This window comes from Homo sapiens, chromosome 2 (genome assembly GCF_000001405.40).
Source record: "Homo sapiens chromosome 2, GRCh38.p14 Primary Assembly".
NCBI classification, from domain to species: domain Eukaryota; kingdom Metazoa; phylum Chordata; class Mammalia; order Primates; family Hominidae; genus Homo; species Homo sapiens.
This window is the reverse complement of record NC_000002.12, coordinates 199,842,545-199,860,096: the sequence shown is the minus strand read 5'-3', so window position 1 is coordinate 199,860,096 and position 17,552 is coordinate 199,842,545. Positions and strand designations below refer to the sequence as shown.

Genomic DNA, 17,552 nt, shown 5'->3' with positions numbered 1-17,552 from the left:
GTTGTTTATTGGATGGGTGGGTGAGGCCATGGAATGAAATTTTGAGCAAAGCACAAGCAAAGCCAGAGACATGTAATAGTTTAAAGTGTTTGGTGAGCAGGTACTCTTAGGGTATGAAATTAGAATGAGGAGGGTTGGGAAAAGGAATGGAGAAAATACTTAAACAATTGAGCAGGGCCACTCTGGGAAGGGCCCTGGACTTCATCCTCCAGGTATGTAAAGTTTAAAATAGGATTGGGGGCAGTGGCTCATGCCTGTAATCCCAACACTTTGGGAGGCTGAGGCGGGTGGATCACGTGAGGCCAGGAATTTGAGACCTGCCTGACCAACATGGCGAAATTCATCTCTACTAAAAATACAAAAATTAGCTGGGTGTGGTGGCACAAGCCCATAATCCCAGCTACTTGGGAGGCTGAGGCATGAGAATCCCTTGAGCCTGGAGGCAGCGTTTGCAGGGAGGCGAGGTTGCAGTGAGCAGAGATTCTTCCACTGCACTCCATCCTGGGCAACAGGTCGAGACTCTGTCTCAAAAATAAATAAATAAATAAAATAAAATAGAAGAGTGATATTAGACATGTAATAATTACCCTCTTTAGGCCTGGGTTTCATACCCTTAATGTGAGAAACATGTCAGGTTTCCTCTAGCTTTTAAACCATGTTTTATAATTAGACAGTCAATCCATTAGATATATTACATACTGTATACTATTAGATTTATATTACAACTTGCAATAAAATCACATCTATAAAGAACATTTTTTAATATATAAAAACTGTGTTGTCACAGACATTTACTTTCATTATGATGAGCAAAATATTATATATTCCTATTAAAATGTTTGGTGTTTGTTTTAAGGCTGGACATACTTGAGTAGATCAAGTTATTCTGCAGAATAGAGTCTTCCAGGCCAGGCACTGTGGCTCACGCCTGTAATCCCAGCACTTTGGGAGGCCGAGGTGGGCAGATCACGAGGTCAAGAGATCAAGACCATCTTGGCCAACATGGTGAAACCCCATCTCTACTAAAAATACAAAAATTTGCTGGGCGTGGTGGTGTGCACCTGTAGTCCCAGCTACTTGGGAGGCTGAGGCAGGAGAAGCACTTGAACAAGGGAGGTGGAGGTTGCAGTGAGCCAAGATCATGCCACTGCACTCCAGCCTGGCGACAGAATGAGACTCTGTCTCAAAAAAGAAAAGAAAAGAAAAAAAGAATACAGTCTTCCAGTTGGTTTATTACTACGTCAATAGCTAATTGAGGTTGCACCAGAATAAATTTTAAAAATATTTTCCCCTCCAACTTCTCTACTCTTGTATTTTTATCAATACATTTTAGACAGTCTAATTAGATACAACTAGTTTAGCAAGTTTTATAGTTTGAAAAATTACTTCAAAAGTATTAGTGTTTTACAGAACACTAAAACTGTGGCGAGTCCTTTGTGTCTTACATTAATAAATAAAGAAAACCTGATATGAAAAGTTGTGTGGGCCGGGCGCGGTGGCTCACGCCTGTAATGCCAGCACTCTGGGAGGCCGAGGTGGGTGGATCACGAGGTCAGGAGATCGAGACCATCCTGGCTAACACGGTGAAACCCCATCTCTACTACAAAAATACACAAAAAAATTAGCCGGGCGTGGTGGCGGGCGCCAGTAGTCCCAGCTACTCAGGAGGCTGAGGCAGGAGAATGGTGTGAACCCAGGAGGTGGAGCTTGCAGTGAGCCGAGATTGCACCACTGCACTCCAGCCTGGGCGACATAGTGAGACTCCGTCTCAAAAAAAAAAAAAAAAGAAAAGTTGCGTGAATTTTTTTTGAGTAAAATCAGTAGCGATAAGATGAATATTTGATATAATTTGATTCTGATTTACAAAATATATGTTTTTATATGTTTTTATATTTGTAATTTAAATTTGGCTTTAAAATATGGGTGGCTGAAGCCACTGCTGCACACAGTTCTGTAGTCATTCAGAACTTAAGGTCACAGAATAGATCAAATGGAGTAACATGAGATATAAGTTAAAAAAAAAAAAACCAAAAAGGTGAGGGTGCAGAGAACAAAAATGGCCCCCATATCTAAATAAAATACAGAAAACCCAGAAATCTCCTATAAGGAACACGTCCATCCTTTTGCCCAAAATAGAGAAATGAAAATACTGATGTTTAAAGTCACAGAGGTATTGGGAAGGGCAGGGCTGTATTACAGTCTTCAGAACTGGTTAATGATACAGTAACTGAGCCACTTTCATTCTTGCCTGTTGTTTGAACTATAATTACCTGCCCTATTTGATTGCATCTTTTGGAATCCTCCTTCCTCCTTCCCCCAAATCTTGATCGTTATGGTTTCTATACCACATTTCCTCCAGTATTAATTCAAGTCTTTGATGGAACATTTCAGATTTGAATATTCATCCATATTTATTTCCTCTGCAGAAATTAAGACCCATCCAATAATTTACAAAGCAATGTGGATTTTCCACAGCACTTGCTTTTCTTAGACAAGGTCTCACTCCTGGGCTCAAACTATCCTCCCACTTCACCTCCCGAGTAGCTGGGACTACAGGTGAGCATGACCATGCCTGGCTAATTTTTGGATTTTTTTTTTTTTTGGTAGAGATGAGGGTCTCCGTATGTTGCCCAGGCTGGTCTTGAACTCCTGAGCTCAAGCAATTTGCCCGCCTTGGCCTCCCGAAGTGCTGGGGTTACAGGTGTGAGTCACCGTGCCCAGCAGCACTCGCATTTTGAGACCACATCATAGATCTCTTTTCGAGAGAGGGCTAATTTTCAAAAGATAAGAACATTGTATGATGTTATAAAAAAGGGGTTCAAGCCCAAGAAAAGTGTTTGAACTAGTTCGTGGTTTTGAAGGGACCTTAGGGTTAGGCACAGGCTGTGGAAGAAGTAGATACAGGGTGGGTGGGGGGCGAAAAGTGCAGGACAGTGGGACACCCAACTCTCCACCCCAACCCCCTGCTTCCATCAGCCACTCTGCTTTCGTCTCTATTGTCTTATTTCAGGTGAGGTGTAATTTTTTTTGAGACAGGGTCTCGCTCTCCCAGGCTGGAGTGCAGTAGCGTGATCACAGCTCACTGCAACCTTGACCTCCTGGCCTGAAGCCATCCTCCTGCCTCAGCCTCTCCAAAGCTCTGAGGTTACAGATGTAAGCCACTGTACCAGGTGGAGGCAGAATTTGAACAAAGGGTTATGAGGAGATGCCAGATGATCTCTAAGGTCCCTTCTGCCCTGTAGTGGCAGGGAACTTTTGTTTTCAAATCTTTGACATGAGCATAGACCTTTAAGCTAAAAGAGTTGAATAATAACTGAGAGACACAGGATAGGATAAAGAAAACTTGTAGGCTAGGCACGGTGGCTCATTCCTGTAATCACAGCACTTTGGGAGGCTGAGGCAGGCAGACTGCTTGAGTTCTGGAGTTCAAGACCAGCCTGGGCATCATAGCAAACCCCGTGTCTACAAAAAATACAAAAATTAGCAAGGTGTGGGAGCACATGTCTGTAGCCCCAGCTATTAGCCAGGTGTGGTGGCACGTGCCTGTAGCCTCAGCTACTCAGGAGGCCTAGGTGGGAGAATCACCTGAGCCTGGGAAGTAGAGGCTGCAGTGACCCATGATCAACCACTGCATTCCATCCTGGGCAAGAGTGAGAGTCTGTCTCAAAACAAAAATAAACACAAAAAACCATGTTAAAAAAAAAAGGCACCAAAATAAAATTTAAAAAAAAGAAAAAGCACCAACAAATTAATTTTTTCCCCTTCTTCCTAAGAAATCAAAAATTTTCTATTTAAATGTAATGAAAAGATACATTCATAAAAGTTAAATTCCTTCCAACGCTGAGCTATATAGTAAAAACCAAACAAACTAGCATGAAACCCTCAGTTTGAGTGTCCTGCAGAGACAGGGCTTGGAGATCTACCCAAATGCAGGAGAACTGGTTCTCTCCACAAGGAGCTCCTTTTCAAAAACAAGGGGTGCCTCTGAACACCCACCTGAATTAGGATGTGGCAAACACGACATGCAGGCTTTTGTTTTGGGTCTCTGATTTCTGTGCATGTAGGACCTTCCCCTCTTGGTGTCCGTAAGAGTTGCCATTCATTTGCATATACATAGGGACATTAAACAACAACAGCCCTGTGAAGGTGTGGAGAGCATGACTGGCCATTGCTGGACTGACACAAGATGTTGGCAGTTACCGTTCACTGGTTGGCATTTTTAAGTAAATATTTATTGATAAAAACCTCATAAAACAACAAAAATTCACGTTACTTAGGGGAAAATGTGTCTAAGCATTCCCAGCATTTTTTGAATGTAATGATACATTTTGTGAATTTTAGTAGCTTTGGAAATAACCTTAATGTTGTCCCAAAAGTTAAAACAAATTTTCAGCAGAAATTCAAAGTCTGTTTTAGGAATTGTTTTTCATCTGCAATATAACTAAGAGTTATGAAGAAGCAGCTTTGGAGAGAGGCTCTAGAAAACACTTCATTTCATCTGCATTATGCCCAGGTTCCTTAATAAAGGAAAGCACAACTGAATGACTACATGGAAGGTATAAAAAGGCAAAGAATGAATTAAGGGGCAGGTGGATCATAGACTTTTAACTTTTGGCTAGTTACATGAGATACTCCAGCTGTGAATGCATAGCAAGTGATTCCATTTTAAGCTAATAACTATGCTTACATTTTAGCCTACTGGTCTTTCTTGAAAGAGACATTGGCAGACTAAAGAGAAAGAACCCAATCCATATTGTGTAAAGAGAAAGTGATTTCAAAAATATTAAGGTGAAAAATAAATTGTTAATTTTCAAAATTCTATGGTTCCCCACACCCTTCCTTCATCCAGACAAAAATGGCTAGTGATCATTTTATGTAATTAATACACAGGTGTGTGGGGAATGGAGGTGTTTCTGTTAGTTGCTGTCACTTTTTTCTGGACATCAACCTCCTTTTCTTCGCTTAAATTAATAGCACAGCTTCTGTCACTCCAAACTAATAATGGCAGCAGTGAAACCTATTTGCTATTTTAGAAAAATGACTAGTAGAACACATATTTCATAATATCACATGATAAAACAATTTAAAATTCACAGGTAATTAAAAACACTTCACTGTCCTATAGTGACAACTAAGATCACTTTAAAAAATCCCTCATTTATCAGACCACATTTATATGCAAGGAGAAATAAAATCTTTTCACGTTCCATGAGGGAAGAAGATAGAATGAAGTCTGACGTAGTGCAAAAATGTGATTAAAGTGAAACAAGTTGCAATAAGAATTAGACTTCTGTCTTTCTAAGGATAATTCTCTATTCATGTTTTCCTGAACACAAACAAATGCTACACCAAAAAAAAACAACCCATAATATAGATAGTATTAATTAGGAGGTTCTTTAAAAACATTTCAAAATTCTGCTGCACAATAGGAAACCTAATTTTCATACTCTGAAATGTATCAGGTACGTAAAGTTGATTCTTTTCCTAGTTCCAAGAAGGTTTTGCCTTCTTTTTCTTTTTCTTTTCTTTTCTTTTTTTTTTGAGATGGAGTCTCGCTCTGTTGCCCAGGCTGGAGTACAGTGGTGTAATCTTGGCTCACTGCAAAGCTCCACCTCCTGGGTTCACGCCATTCTCCTGCCTCAGCCTCCTGAGTAGCTGGGACTACAGGCGCCCGCCACCATGCCTGGCTAATTTTTTGTATATTTAGTAGAGACAGGGTTTCACTGTGTTAGCCAGGATGGTCTCGATCTCCTGACCTTGTGATCTGCTCACCTCGGCCTCCCAAAGTGCTGGGATTACAGGCGTGAGCCACTGCGCCCAGCTCTTTTTTTTTTTGAGACAGAGTCTTGCTCTGTCACCCAGGCTGGAGGGCAGTGGCACAATCTTGGCTCACTGCAACCTCCACCTCCCAGGTTCAAGTGATTCTCATGCTTCAGCCTCCTGAGTAGCTGGGATCACAGGCATGCAGCACCATACCTGGCCAAGTTTTGTATTTTTAGTAGAGACAGGGTTTCACCATGGTGGCCAGGCTGGGCTCAAACTCCTGACCTCAAGTGATCTGCCTGCCTTGGCCTCCTTAAAGTGCTGGGATTACAGGTGTGAGCCACTGCGCCTGGCTTGCCTTCTTTTGAAATAAATTGGCTGTCTCCTATCTATGGAGGTCTAGAAACTCTTGAACAGAGTATGAATTATATGTCTCCACTGGCCTGGAAATTTCTATCCTTGACATTGTTGGTTTTGTTGCCCATTTTGTGGGGCAGAAGAAAGGATGCAGGCAGGGCGGAGTGGCACAGTTTCCTCTCAGGCCTACAATCAGAAACAGGTTGGCACAAGCGGACAATCCCAGGGCCAGGATCAGGGTGAGGTCAGTGAGGCTGAGTTGAGAGGCAAGTGCAGGGTCGGATCCTGTCTTTACTTAAGATTTTGATATTTTGTTCACCACATTTCTTTTCTGCATTAATTTTTATTTTAAAAAATGTCGCATCCCTGAGTTTTTTGGCACCTACTTACATTTTGTGCCCAGGGTGAACGCCTCACTGACCTTACCTTCATCCTGGCCCTGCTCAACCAACACCTGGGCTGTGGGCTCAGGTAGATCTGTGAGGCCACAGTGAGCACAGCCTCTCCCTTTTACCCTCTTCAGCTCAGTTGGGTCAGGAAAGTCTCCTACAAGAACTAAGTTCTCCCTGCTTGCAAAAACGAAAACAAAGGGTAAAGAAAAGTGTCCTCTTTGTCTAACAGGAAGCCAATGGGAGTGTTACAGAACAGCAGTTGTCGTAGATAGAACTGACCCATGGGAGTTTCAGTTGCTCTATTCCAGGGCTTATATCTTTCTGGACAGGAACCATAATGAGCAAAAGAACTAATGCCCACAAGGTGAATTTAGCAGAAGAATCAAGGAGTCAGAATAATACATTAATTCAAAAAGTAGGAAGACTCCCTCCAAAGAATGCTAAGTTAAATAAAAATGAGAGACTTAAGATGCACACAGAAATGTGACATAAAGCTCTTTTATGTAGTGAAATGGGCAGGAGTACATGCGGTACACCTAAAGTAACCGATGGTAACTTTCCATTCTTGAAGAGAACAAAATAATACTTTCAATCGTATCGCTAAACTTCTCATGGGACAGGTTGGTATGTGTCTCCTTGTATTTTCCAAAAATACATGCTTACCCTCCTCAGGCAGGGGCCGGATGCTGCCCCCCACAAAGAACACTGGGGCCCTGCTTTCTCTCCATTTGGGTTTGAAGTGAGTAGAGTGGAGAAAGGGATGCTTTCAGAAATGTTATCTTACTTAATGCCCCCATAGCCTGTAGCTCCGTAAGGAACAGTCTCTCGGGAGAAAGAGAGGATTAGGAGCTGTGGGGGGAAAAGCTTTCCTTCTGGCAGTTTCTACAGCTAGAACCATGAAGCCCCCAGGTGTCACACTGTTTTCTCTGGAGAAATATTATAAGATTAGATGTAATGTTATTACGCTGTCTCATTTGGCAAGTAGTATCATTATCCGATTGTTTGGAAAGGTGAAATACAGGGGATTCTGGTTCTTTGCCCTACCATGGAAGGAACATTTGGACACCACATTACTTTTTTTGGAAAACGGAAGCTAAAGCTAGAGGCCAAAAAAGCTCTCAAAAGAGAAGATGAAGAAAGTTAGGAATATTGGTCTGATTAAAAAGCTCTCAAAATTATCTAGTGAATGCTGACATTAGATAGGTATTGGTCTTTAGGTAATAACATGGGTATGTATCTACTTTATGCACTTCTATGCAGATTTAGTAGAAAAAAATACCTAAATATATATTTAATTCCATAGGATCCCAGTGCATTTTGAGGATTTAAACAGATAAGCCAACCTCAAAGGGACTGATTCTTGCAACTAAAACACAGACACCTCTGGGGTGAAATGTGGCAACAGTTTGACAGGCATAGCAGTAGCTTAGGCCAGAAAGGATTTATCCAATTAAAATTATGGGATGAATTTTGGCTGGCAGAATGTAATTACCAGCCTTGGAATGGATCCAGGATCCTGAGGTTAACACCCCTCCTCTTGCCAACAACCCTCCTACCTGCCAACACTCCGAGATGGAGAAGGCTGGATCTGACATAATCGCACATAATACTGTTGTGACATCTAAGTACAATGATGATGATGTGAGAAGCATCATGAACCTGATTTTTTTTAACACTCATTATGTTACTTATTTTTATGCCACATTAGGCTAGAAACCAAATGTCCACATAAATGTTAATTTCCTCAAATCTGTGTTTAAAAATTATAATTAGAAAATAAAAAATAGATTTAAAAATTAATTTATTCCGTCAAAGTAGTTATTTAGTGATTATTTCACTACAGGAACAAAATTGGATCAAAATGGTGACATTTAATCCTTGCTACACGAAAAAAAAAAAAGCAGGTCCTGATTTTTTGGAAGCGAAATGTGTTTTCAAGGTTGAGTGGCCTAGAAAAAAAGGAAATGCGGAAGCCTGATTCATATTCGTTGTAACTTTGACTAAATGGGTATGCGCAAGGACTGCTTTTGTCCCGGGGTGGGTCCAGTTCACAGTCACGGGGGGCACTAATCCTCCAGGAGGGGATTTACCAGAAGGGTGTGTGTGAGTGCGTGTGTCCCTTCCAAGGAAACGAGAGAAGAGCCCCCTGCTGGTGCATGATCAATAGGCAAAGACCTGATCATTAGATGCCAATGCCCCTTTAAAGTCATTAATTGACTAGAGAATTGTGGAGGGTCTGGCGATACGGAAGAGCAAACGAAAAGGCAACACTGATAAAAATCTGAAGCGTTCAAGGACGCCAGGCACGTGGTGCCGGGTCAGGGAGGGAGAGGCAGAGCCAGCCCGGTCGGTGTGCGGCTGGGGTGGGGCGCGCTCCGGGCGTCCGGGAGGCGGAGCCGGCGGCAGACGCTGCGCGCGGGCCACGCGCGGCGGCGGAGGCTGCGCGCGGGCCACGCGCGGCGGCGACTTGGGCTGGGCGGTCGCCCTGCCCCACCGCCCTTCGGCGCTCGCAGGTCCGCTCCCCTCCCAAACCGCAGAGCGGCAGGCGCGGCCGCTGGTTCGAGAGCTCGGCCGGGGCAGCGCAGCCGCCGGCTGCCCCTCGCTCCCAGGCGCCACAACCCCGCGCCCTCGCCGCTGCTGCGTCCCGCGAGACCTGTGGGGAGGCCGGGAGTCACTTCGGGTTCCCTTTCAGCCCACGTGGTCCTGGGACACTCCACCCAGGAACCTAGTCGGCACCGCGCAGGGAATCCCAGCAGCGGGGTTCTGGCCCCAGCACGCGTTGCGGCAGCCTGGCGAGCGTCCTTGCGGCCTCCAAGTGCCGGTGGGGTGCGTGCGCAGGGGGCAGGTGAACTGCTGCACTTTGCACTTGCTAGGCTAGGTTCTCCGCGGGTGGGGAGGCGCGGGGGCGGGGGACGGCCGAGTGTTTAATCTATCACCAGAGGTCATCCAATGGTAATTGAAGGATGAGCTGGGAGGACTAGGATCTCCCTGTCCCAAACACAGAGTGTTTTGGGGGGCTTGCGTTTGGGTCACTTTCTGAGCCTGGTACTGCCGCTCATTTCAGCTTCGCTGTGAAGGTGAATTTTTCTAACACCATCTTTGTGTGATTTAGCTGTCCACAGGGAATCAAAATGTGGAATGAGAGGATGAAACTAATCCTTTCTTTTGCACTGTTAGGGGTTGCCATAAACACCATTTGTTAAAAAGCATAATTATGTTGGGAAAGTGCCTGATGAGACAATTAAGCTGCATAAACACACTGAAAACAAATGAAAACCAGAAGACGCCCACACCCCTTGTGTAAAGCAATTTTTTGTTTACATAGAAACGAGAGGTCTGGGTTGCTTTATTACAACAATGTTATTAATATCTAGAAAAACCTAATGACAGAATTTTTATGAATTTTCAGTGATGAGATGATGGACATGATATGAAAACCTGCCTGCAAACCTGAGCTAGCTACGAAGCCTGAGCTCTCTCTAGGTTAAGATGATTAGGCCAACGAATGATCCTGGCGAACAAGCCAGTGGATTTATTGAGGGAGAGCACCATTATTTGCACCAGAGCACTTTTAGCTTAAACTCTAAAGTTTAACGCGTGTCTCAGAGTTAGACCACTGTGGTTGGTATCCCTCACACAGGGAACAGTGGTTGGTATCCCTCACACAGGGAACATTACCTGTCAGAAAAAGACCCTCATTAAATATTTGTTGAATGAATTCATGAGGGCCTCATCTATTTTTAGTTATGGTATTTAAAAGAGACCAAAGTTATGAGGTCCTGAACTTGAAGAGGGAAATTATTTTCTTATTATTTTAAGATGTTTTAATTCCTTTAGATCATGAATATCATTTGAAGTATGGAAAGATGTGTCAAAAATGCTATTCTAGAGTACTAAAAAGTATCAAAGCAACCTCCAAAACCTGTATAATTAATTTTCAACAAAAATCACATTTTTGATATTATTGAATAATATGTATCAGAATATGTATCATCTTTCAAGTTACAGAATTTTGTAAAAAGACTTTAAACTGATTTAGAAACTTTGGTGGAACAAGGAGGAACTTAGACAATTGTCATGTAAACCATCCAAATGGCTTCCTTATTTATTTGTATAATGTCCATGGCATGGCCTGTAGACACTTTCATTTTTGCTGCAAGAATTTCTTTTATAAGAATCCACATATTAAATAATCTTCCTCATTTTCTTTTTCTGCATTTCCCCACTAAGTCTAGTTTAACAACAAAAAAAACATACCTGTTTGTAAAATAGTACAGACCTTGAAAACAGGGATAAGGCTAAGGAAAACTATGCTTAAAATGGGATAACATACTTTAATGAAAAACTTTCACTTACATGATGAAATTCACGCTGAGGACCCTGCCAGGTATTTTCCAGTGTCGTTACAAGGTTTATATGTATGTGACCATGTACACATGGTTTCTTATTTTAGTCAATCTGGAGATTTTATGCTTTAGAATTTTTCTAGGAATGAAATAGTAAAGTGCTCATATTATGACTGCTTCGTTTCCAAAAAGTTATGATTTTTTTATAGTTAAAACATGAAAATATGAATCAACTCTAGAGACACATAAAAATTTTTCTCCTATTCCAGAAAAATCATGTCTTCTTCCAGAGTGGGGCTCCGTTTGGCTGCCTGTTTACTAAACGTTTCAGAAGCCGGAAGAAAATACATTGTTGAGAACATAGCAAAAGCAGCTCTTCTTGACAAAAATGGTAGGAAAAACAGACAATTGAAGCTGAATATTATAGTGTTTTGATAATTTAGTAATTTTTGTACTGTGCACACTGTATCTACAGAACACTTTTCTTTCTTTCTTCCTGAATTTTCCTCCTTGCTCTTGAGCTGTTGCAGCTCTGCGCAACTCCAGGATACTGAGATAGCTCAGTTACTCAGATGTGCACATATGCTCTTTTCCAAATGTCTGCATACGCTCAGCAGCGCAGCTCTTAACATTTGCGTGTGAATCTCTGAGATGCGTGTTGTTCAGGATATTGACAGGCTCCTGGGGAGGATGTATTTACATAAAAGTATAATGTTTCCCTCATGGGTCGTTTATTTGATCATTAATAGAATGAGCATAATCGTACCTTATGCTTTTTATTGAGCAGATTAAATGAAAAATAAACTTGCCAAATACCAACTACTTTTCCCAGCACTCCTGCCAGCAAAGCCCATGCAATCATTACAGTATTATTATTTCTACCCTCTTTTCTCTGTATAGACACTGTTAGGCAAGTGCATTTAAATGATGCGCTTAAGATCACTCAGCAATTTGGTGACAGAAGACTGGAACTCATGCCTCCTTATTCCCTCGGCCAGTATTACTATGAAAGATACTGCTCTTTAAAAAACATTTCATTTTTTAAAATGTTCCTGTGGTGACACATGGTTAGGTATTATTTGTCTTTACTTTGACACACACACTAATACACACAACAGTGTATACAATCATTTAAATAGAATGCTGTTATTAAATCAATAACTTTTTGGCAACAGGTGAAACCAACCCTAAAGCATTTCAGACAGTAAATTTTAATTTCCGATTGTCATTTTTAATGTGGTTACTGCTTTTCATAAGAAAGAAGTGTTTTCCCCCAACCCATCTTAACTGTGAGCACATTTAAGTTACTGTCTTGCAACTTTGCAGGAGCTAGAAATGTCTATGAAAATTCCTGATAATTGCTGATAAGAAAACTTCTTTGGAGTTGGTATGCAGCTGTGATTTTGCATGCTTTTTGTGGAAAGAGCCAGCTCGGGCTCTTCATTGTCAGAAACAGTACATCTAATGGGATTGGGTTGCCTGTCTCTGTGATTAAGTGAATGTGCAGAGACATTTGTGGAAGACACACACTGATGGATGCCTGGGTCTCAACTCACAGTTTTTATCAGCTTATTAGTGGCAGCAGCTCAAATGGAATTATAGCTATTATACTCCATTACAAATACCAAACAATTTACTTCTGCTGAGATTCACACTGACAGCTCCTCTTGCCAGCAGTAATTTCTTTTCTATATGCATGCTTAAGAAATTGCAGGAGAGTGTTTTATTCTTTCAGCATTTGATTCAATTGAATCATATGAAACTGAGAATAAAAGCTTTTCAGGAGAAGATTTAGGATGAAAAAAATTACATCATATCTCGTTTCTTCCAGGAGTTAGAGTATGTTGAAAAACTATATAAAATAGGAAGTTGCATGATCTTCTTCTTACTTCATCTTTTGTAGTTTTCAAAATGCAAGGAAGGTAGCACTAGTTAAGAAAATGAACCTTTTTTTTTTACAAATATTTTAAAGGCATTTATTTTTAAGTGAGTGGAATAAAACCATATAAACTGTATTTTTTTTTTCTAATTAAGCAATGTGAGCACATTTAAATGGCCTAGAAAGGTCTTAGGTAAAGGAATCTGAGTAATAAATTTTAGACCTACACCAGGGCAGGACTCTACAGATGCTCGTTTGGCCATGAGTGAGTGACATATGTTTATCTTCTCACATTATTAAAATTAATAGTGTAGGGCTGTTCTAAGCTCTGTAGTTCCTGGGTGTAACTTGTTTTTCCTTTCCTCTGAAAAGATTAATTGTTAAGCTGCCAGGGGACAAGGAGACAAGGTATAATAGCATAACCAAAGGTTTAATTACCGCCTGAAAACTTTTGTCCTTCACTTTGAATTTGCTTTTGTAGGCTTAAGGGGGACTTTTAAGAAGCCTGGACCATGCTTGTAAACTTCAAAAATAACTCTAGGGTTATGTATGGCTGCCACACAAGGGAATGTCAGCTTTCTCCTCCAGGTTACACATATTCAAGAGAGTCACAAACCACCAAAAGCTGGAAGTTGTTAACATCTGAAGGCTGTTGGTGGCCTCCGAAAAGGAGATGGTGGACTCAGAACAGTTTCTAATGGACAGGTGCATGCGTCTCAAAAACCTCTGCTCTGGGCACTAATTGGTCTATTCTAGTTTTACCAGATGTCAGATCTTGACCCAAACAGTTTAGTTTCTGGATTTTGGAAGGAAATATTGACAAGGCCTAGGTGATGAGATTGATAAGGAACAGGATTTAGAGCCATATGATTTGGCTATTGAAGAAAGGAGCTACCATCTTAGACTGAGTTAAGGGAATTTTGGCAAATTCAGTAGCAAGTCCAAAAGAGTGTCTCTTATAGACATCAAAAGCTTGTGTCTGAGCTGAGCCATCTGGTTATACAATAAGATGCTGTAAGAAAAGTGGACATTGCCTCTCATGAATTTCATGTTTATTCAATGTCACTTCCAAAAGTCACATCCCAGAATTTTTCCACTAAGCTAAATTTAAATATACCAGAAGAAATTAACTATTAAGGTTTTATCACAGAAAAAAAATTCTTGCACTTCTGTCTTGTTTTTTTTACAGGAAAGAAACATCCTCAAGTTTCAGTGCTCAATATATTTTCCGATCAAGACTACAAGAGATCAGTCATTACAATAGCAACTTCTGTTGATAAGTTGGGTAAGATTTCAGTTTCTTTCTTTACATATATGTCTTTTTTTTGGTTCAGGTAGACCTGAACATTCTCTAATCATTGATTTCCTCTGTAAATATGAATACTCCCCTCTATTAAGTAAAGAGTCTACCACAAAGCTACACTTAATCATTTTTCTGAACATGTAAATCTCAAAGAGTCTCCATTTCCTCTTTGTTACAGTGAACCTTGGGGTCCAAGATTTCATAACTTTTTTTTTTTTTTTTTGCTGAAGGTGATCACATATCCTTTGGGGTTAAGAAAAGACATCTTCAGGTTTTAGCCTGTGAAGTAATAGTGTTGAAGTCAGCTTTCATTTCACTGCTAAGCTGGCATAGAATGAAACATGCTAAGCAGTGCATTCTGGGTTGGGAGCTTGAGATCTGGAGTTGGGCCATGAGTTGACATGTCTTATAGGGACATTGTAAGGTTTAGTAGAGAGCTTACAGATAACTTCAGCAAGCATAGGACAGATTATCTTTTTTTTTTCGAGATAAGAGTCTCACTCCATCACCCAGACTGGAGTGCAGTGGCCCGATCTCGACTCACTGCAACCTCTGCCTCCGGGGTTCAAGCAATTCCCATGCTTCAGCCTCCTTTGTAGCTGGAATTACAGGCACACACCACCATACCTGGCTAACTTTTTATATTGTTTTCAGTAGAGATGGGGATTTGCCGTGTTGGCCAGGCTGGTCTCAAACTCCTGACCTCAAGTGATTTGCCTGCCTCAGCCTCCCAAAGTGCTGGGATTATAGGATTGAGCCACTGAGCCCGGCCTGGACAGATTATCTTGAATGTTGTCTTAATACAGGATAAAAATCTGCTTTTTCCTCTATTGCTAAAATGGTCATACTGTATTACTAATGAAAACTCAGAGTAATATCACAAAACTCTTAGGTGTCTATAATATGCATTTAGCTATAATAATTCAATGAAAAATATAATTAGTGGATAAGAGCAAAACTAAAATAAGTAAGCTTTAAAAAATTTATGCAAAAAAAAAATTTACGTGTTTGGGCACAGTGGCTCATGCCTATAGTTTCAGCACTTTGGGCGGCCAAGGTGGGAGGATTGCCTGATGCCAGGAGTTTGAGACCAGCCTGGGCAACATAGCAAGACTCAGTCTCTAAAAAATAAAAAATAAAAAAAAATTATGTTTGTGTATCTATTTTAATATAATTACTCATAAGGCATTCTGAAAATAAGGAATTTGATTAAATTAATTGGAGACAATTGAAAAAATTTAAAGTAAACAATTGTAAAAAAAAATCAAATAGTATAAGACCAATAAATCTTGTATAATTCTCCCACTTTGGGGAGGAAAAAGCTGGAAGAAATGTCAAGTTTTATGACTATTGGGAGGTGGGGTGAGGGGAAAGGTTAGATTTTGTATTTTTCATTATTTTGGACAAAAAATCTTCTACACAGATTACAGAAGAAAAACAACTAGGGGACCAACAAAATCATAGCTTTTTCTTTAGATGCAGTTGAAAGCTGAATGATTGTTTTTCACAATTTTGCATTTTTAGGCAGTTCTGTTCTGGCTGCCTGCCTAGAGGCCTTCCAGGCTATCGATATGGAAGTTCAAGAGGGAATCCACCCTTGCCTGGGAGCAGTGGACTTGATTCCGATTTACCCTCTCTCTGGTGTCACAGTGGAATAGTGTGGAGTGGTGGCCAGAAGTAAGAGAAAGTTTGGGGTTATGTGTTCTTTCTTACTGGAAACCATTTTTACAAACTGAAATAGCTTGTGAGAATCAAATCACTCCTCAGCCCCCGGGAAAAGTTGATCTTGAAGAACTGTATCAACAATACACTGTGTGTTTGTGACACACCCCTCCACTTCCTACCCCATGACATTATGGAACACTAAATGTTGTGGGATATGGCAAAAAAAAAAAAATCAATAATTTTATCCCTCACAAATTCACAGTAGATCTTGAGGAAACAATAGCAGTTTCTAGTAAGTCTTTTAGGCTCTTCAGGGCAGAATGATGGTGTGTTTTGCCTATCTATCTGTGTCCTATTTTCTTGAGCAGGGGTAATGATGAGGTTGAAAATCCACTTAAATGTTAACTCTTACCCCTTTTTCCTTTGACTTTTTTTTTTTCCTTTTTTCCCTGTGCACAACTCTAAGATTTTCTTTAGAGCTGAACTGCCACTTGAATGATTTCAGCCCCAGGGGTAAGGTTAATTTGGAAAAATTTGAGCTATGTCACTTGAGGTGTTTTTGAATTAGGCAAATTGGGAGAAAAGAAAGACCTTTTGCCTGGACTGTCTAACTGTACCACGGTTAATTACAAGATGCAGAGGCTTATAATCTTCGGGGAAAAAAAGCCGCCTTAGGATAATTGCATTCTTTTCTGTATGACCTCAGAAATCCCTCTATGATGTTGCCTCATTTTTAATTAATGGTGAATTGTCTAACATTTGGGATGTAGATTTGGACTTTAGCTGAGCTACATTAAGCACCAGAAATAGGAAATGAGACTTGCTTCCAAAGGAGTACCTCACTACTTATGCTGCATTTTATGTGACCTGACAGTTGAAGGGTTATCCAAGGGAAATCTTGGCTCCAGACTTGCTTTACGTTTTATCCAAGAAAGAGTTAAAATTCAGCATGGGGGGGTGGGGAAATATGTTCCACACAAAAATGAAGAGTTCAGAATTGTCCAGACCAGAATAATGATTTTAATTGTCTTCAAAACAATTATGGACAATTACATTAAATCTCAAATTAGCTAGTACATGAAGTTCTTCATTACATCAGGACTGGTCCACCCCAGATGTTCATCCTGTGTAGGAGACAGTTGAGAATCAGTGAGTCTGGACACAGGATTTCTCCCTTCCCTTGCCCTTTGCTTCATTGGCAGCTACTGTACCTCATGATTTAAACATGGACATTTCTAATTAAATGAGAGCTCAGCTGCATTCTTGAACTAATTTATAACATTTGATTTGAAATGTAATAGCTTCAATCTTCATCTGATTAAAAACAGTCCTATACTGTACATGGTTACTATTTTGATGCTCTAACATGCAGTTTTTATTTTTACATCCCCTTTTCTACACAGCTGTTCATCTAATATCATCCAAATTTTTTTTAAGTTTTTTTTTTTTTTTTGTAACAGCATGCTCAGGCATTCTTATGAGGCAGAAGTATTCGCATTCTAGGATCCCGCTGTTCTTAGAACAGTGAAAGGATGTTTTTCCCTAGAATAAGGCTTTCCCAGAGAAACCAGCTTTAACATAATAATCAGCTAACTTTCTCTGGACAAAGGGCAATAAATAGCATCCCAGTGACATAAAAGAGTTGATACTGATATGTGTAATTTATGTATACTTTGTATGCAAAAATGCTGAATAACGTATTTCAGAACTTTTTAATATCAGCTGTAAGTTTGCTTATAGCTTCAGGAAGAGGTTCTTAAGGTGGGTCCAGGATGAGGTTCTTAAAGTGGGTCCAAAGTTGGTATTCAGAGGATTTATAAATAACTGTCAACAATTTTTGCAAGTTT

General features: G+C 40.5%; 1 protein-coding gene across 34 annotated transcripts in view, besides 3 other annotated features; it reads left to right on the top strand.

Annotated features, from left to right (window-relative positions):
• Positions 8,439-9,013: an enhancer, noted in NCBI's record as "NANOG-H3K27ac hESC enhancer chr2:200715807-200716381 (GRCh37/hg19 assembly coordinates)". NCBI's record gives its function as "activates a minimal SCP1, AML or CMV promoter by ChIP-STARR-seq in naive H9 embryonic stem cells {active_cell/tissue: H9 hESC(naive)}" and the evidence as "EXISTENCE:reporter gene assay evidence [ECO:0000049][PMID:30033119]".
• Positions 8,439-9,124: a biological region, named in NCBI's record as "NANOG-H3K27ac hESC enhancer GRCh37_chr2:200715807-200716381".
• Positions 8,845-9,124: a silencer, noted in NCBI's record as "silent region_12221". NCBI's record gives its function as "represses an Ori minimal core promoter by ATAC-STARR-seq in GM12878 lymphoblastoid cells {active_cell/tissue: GM12878}" and the evidence as "EXISTENCE:reporter gene assay evidence [ECO:0000049][PMID:35858748]".
• The window catches only part of FTCDNL1 (formiminotransferase cyclodeaminase N-terminal like), a 187,358-nt gene continuing 178,710 nt past the window's right edge, over positions 8,905-17,552 (top strand). For 14 of the 34 annotated variants that reach the window (XR_002959289.2, XM_024452865.2, XM_024452863.2 and 11 more), the window contains exons 1-3: positions 8,905-9,357; positions 11,128-11,249; positions 13,927-14,022. Coding sequence is in view for 32 of the 34 variants with exons in the window: in XM_024452865.2 (XP_024308633.1) it covers positions 11,135-11,249; positions 13,927-14,022 (211 nt within the window). In the remaining 2 variants the exon portion in view is untranslated. Of the gene's footprint in view, positions 9,358-11,127; positions 11,250-13,926; positions 14,023-15,564; positions 17,057-17,552 lie in introns of those variants that run through there. The other 20 variants (XM_024452869.2, XM_047444164.1, XM_047444170.1 and 17 more) reach the window with 7 other exon arrangements.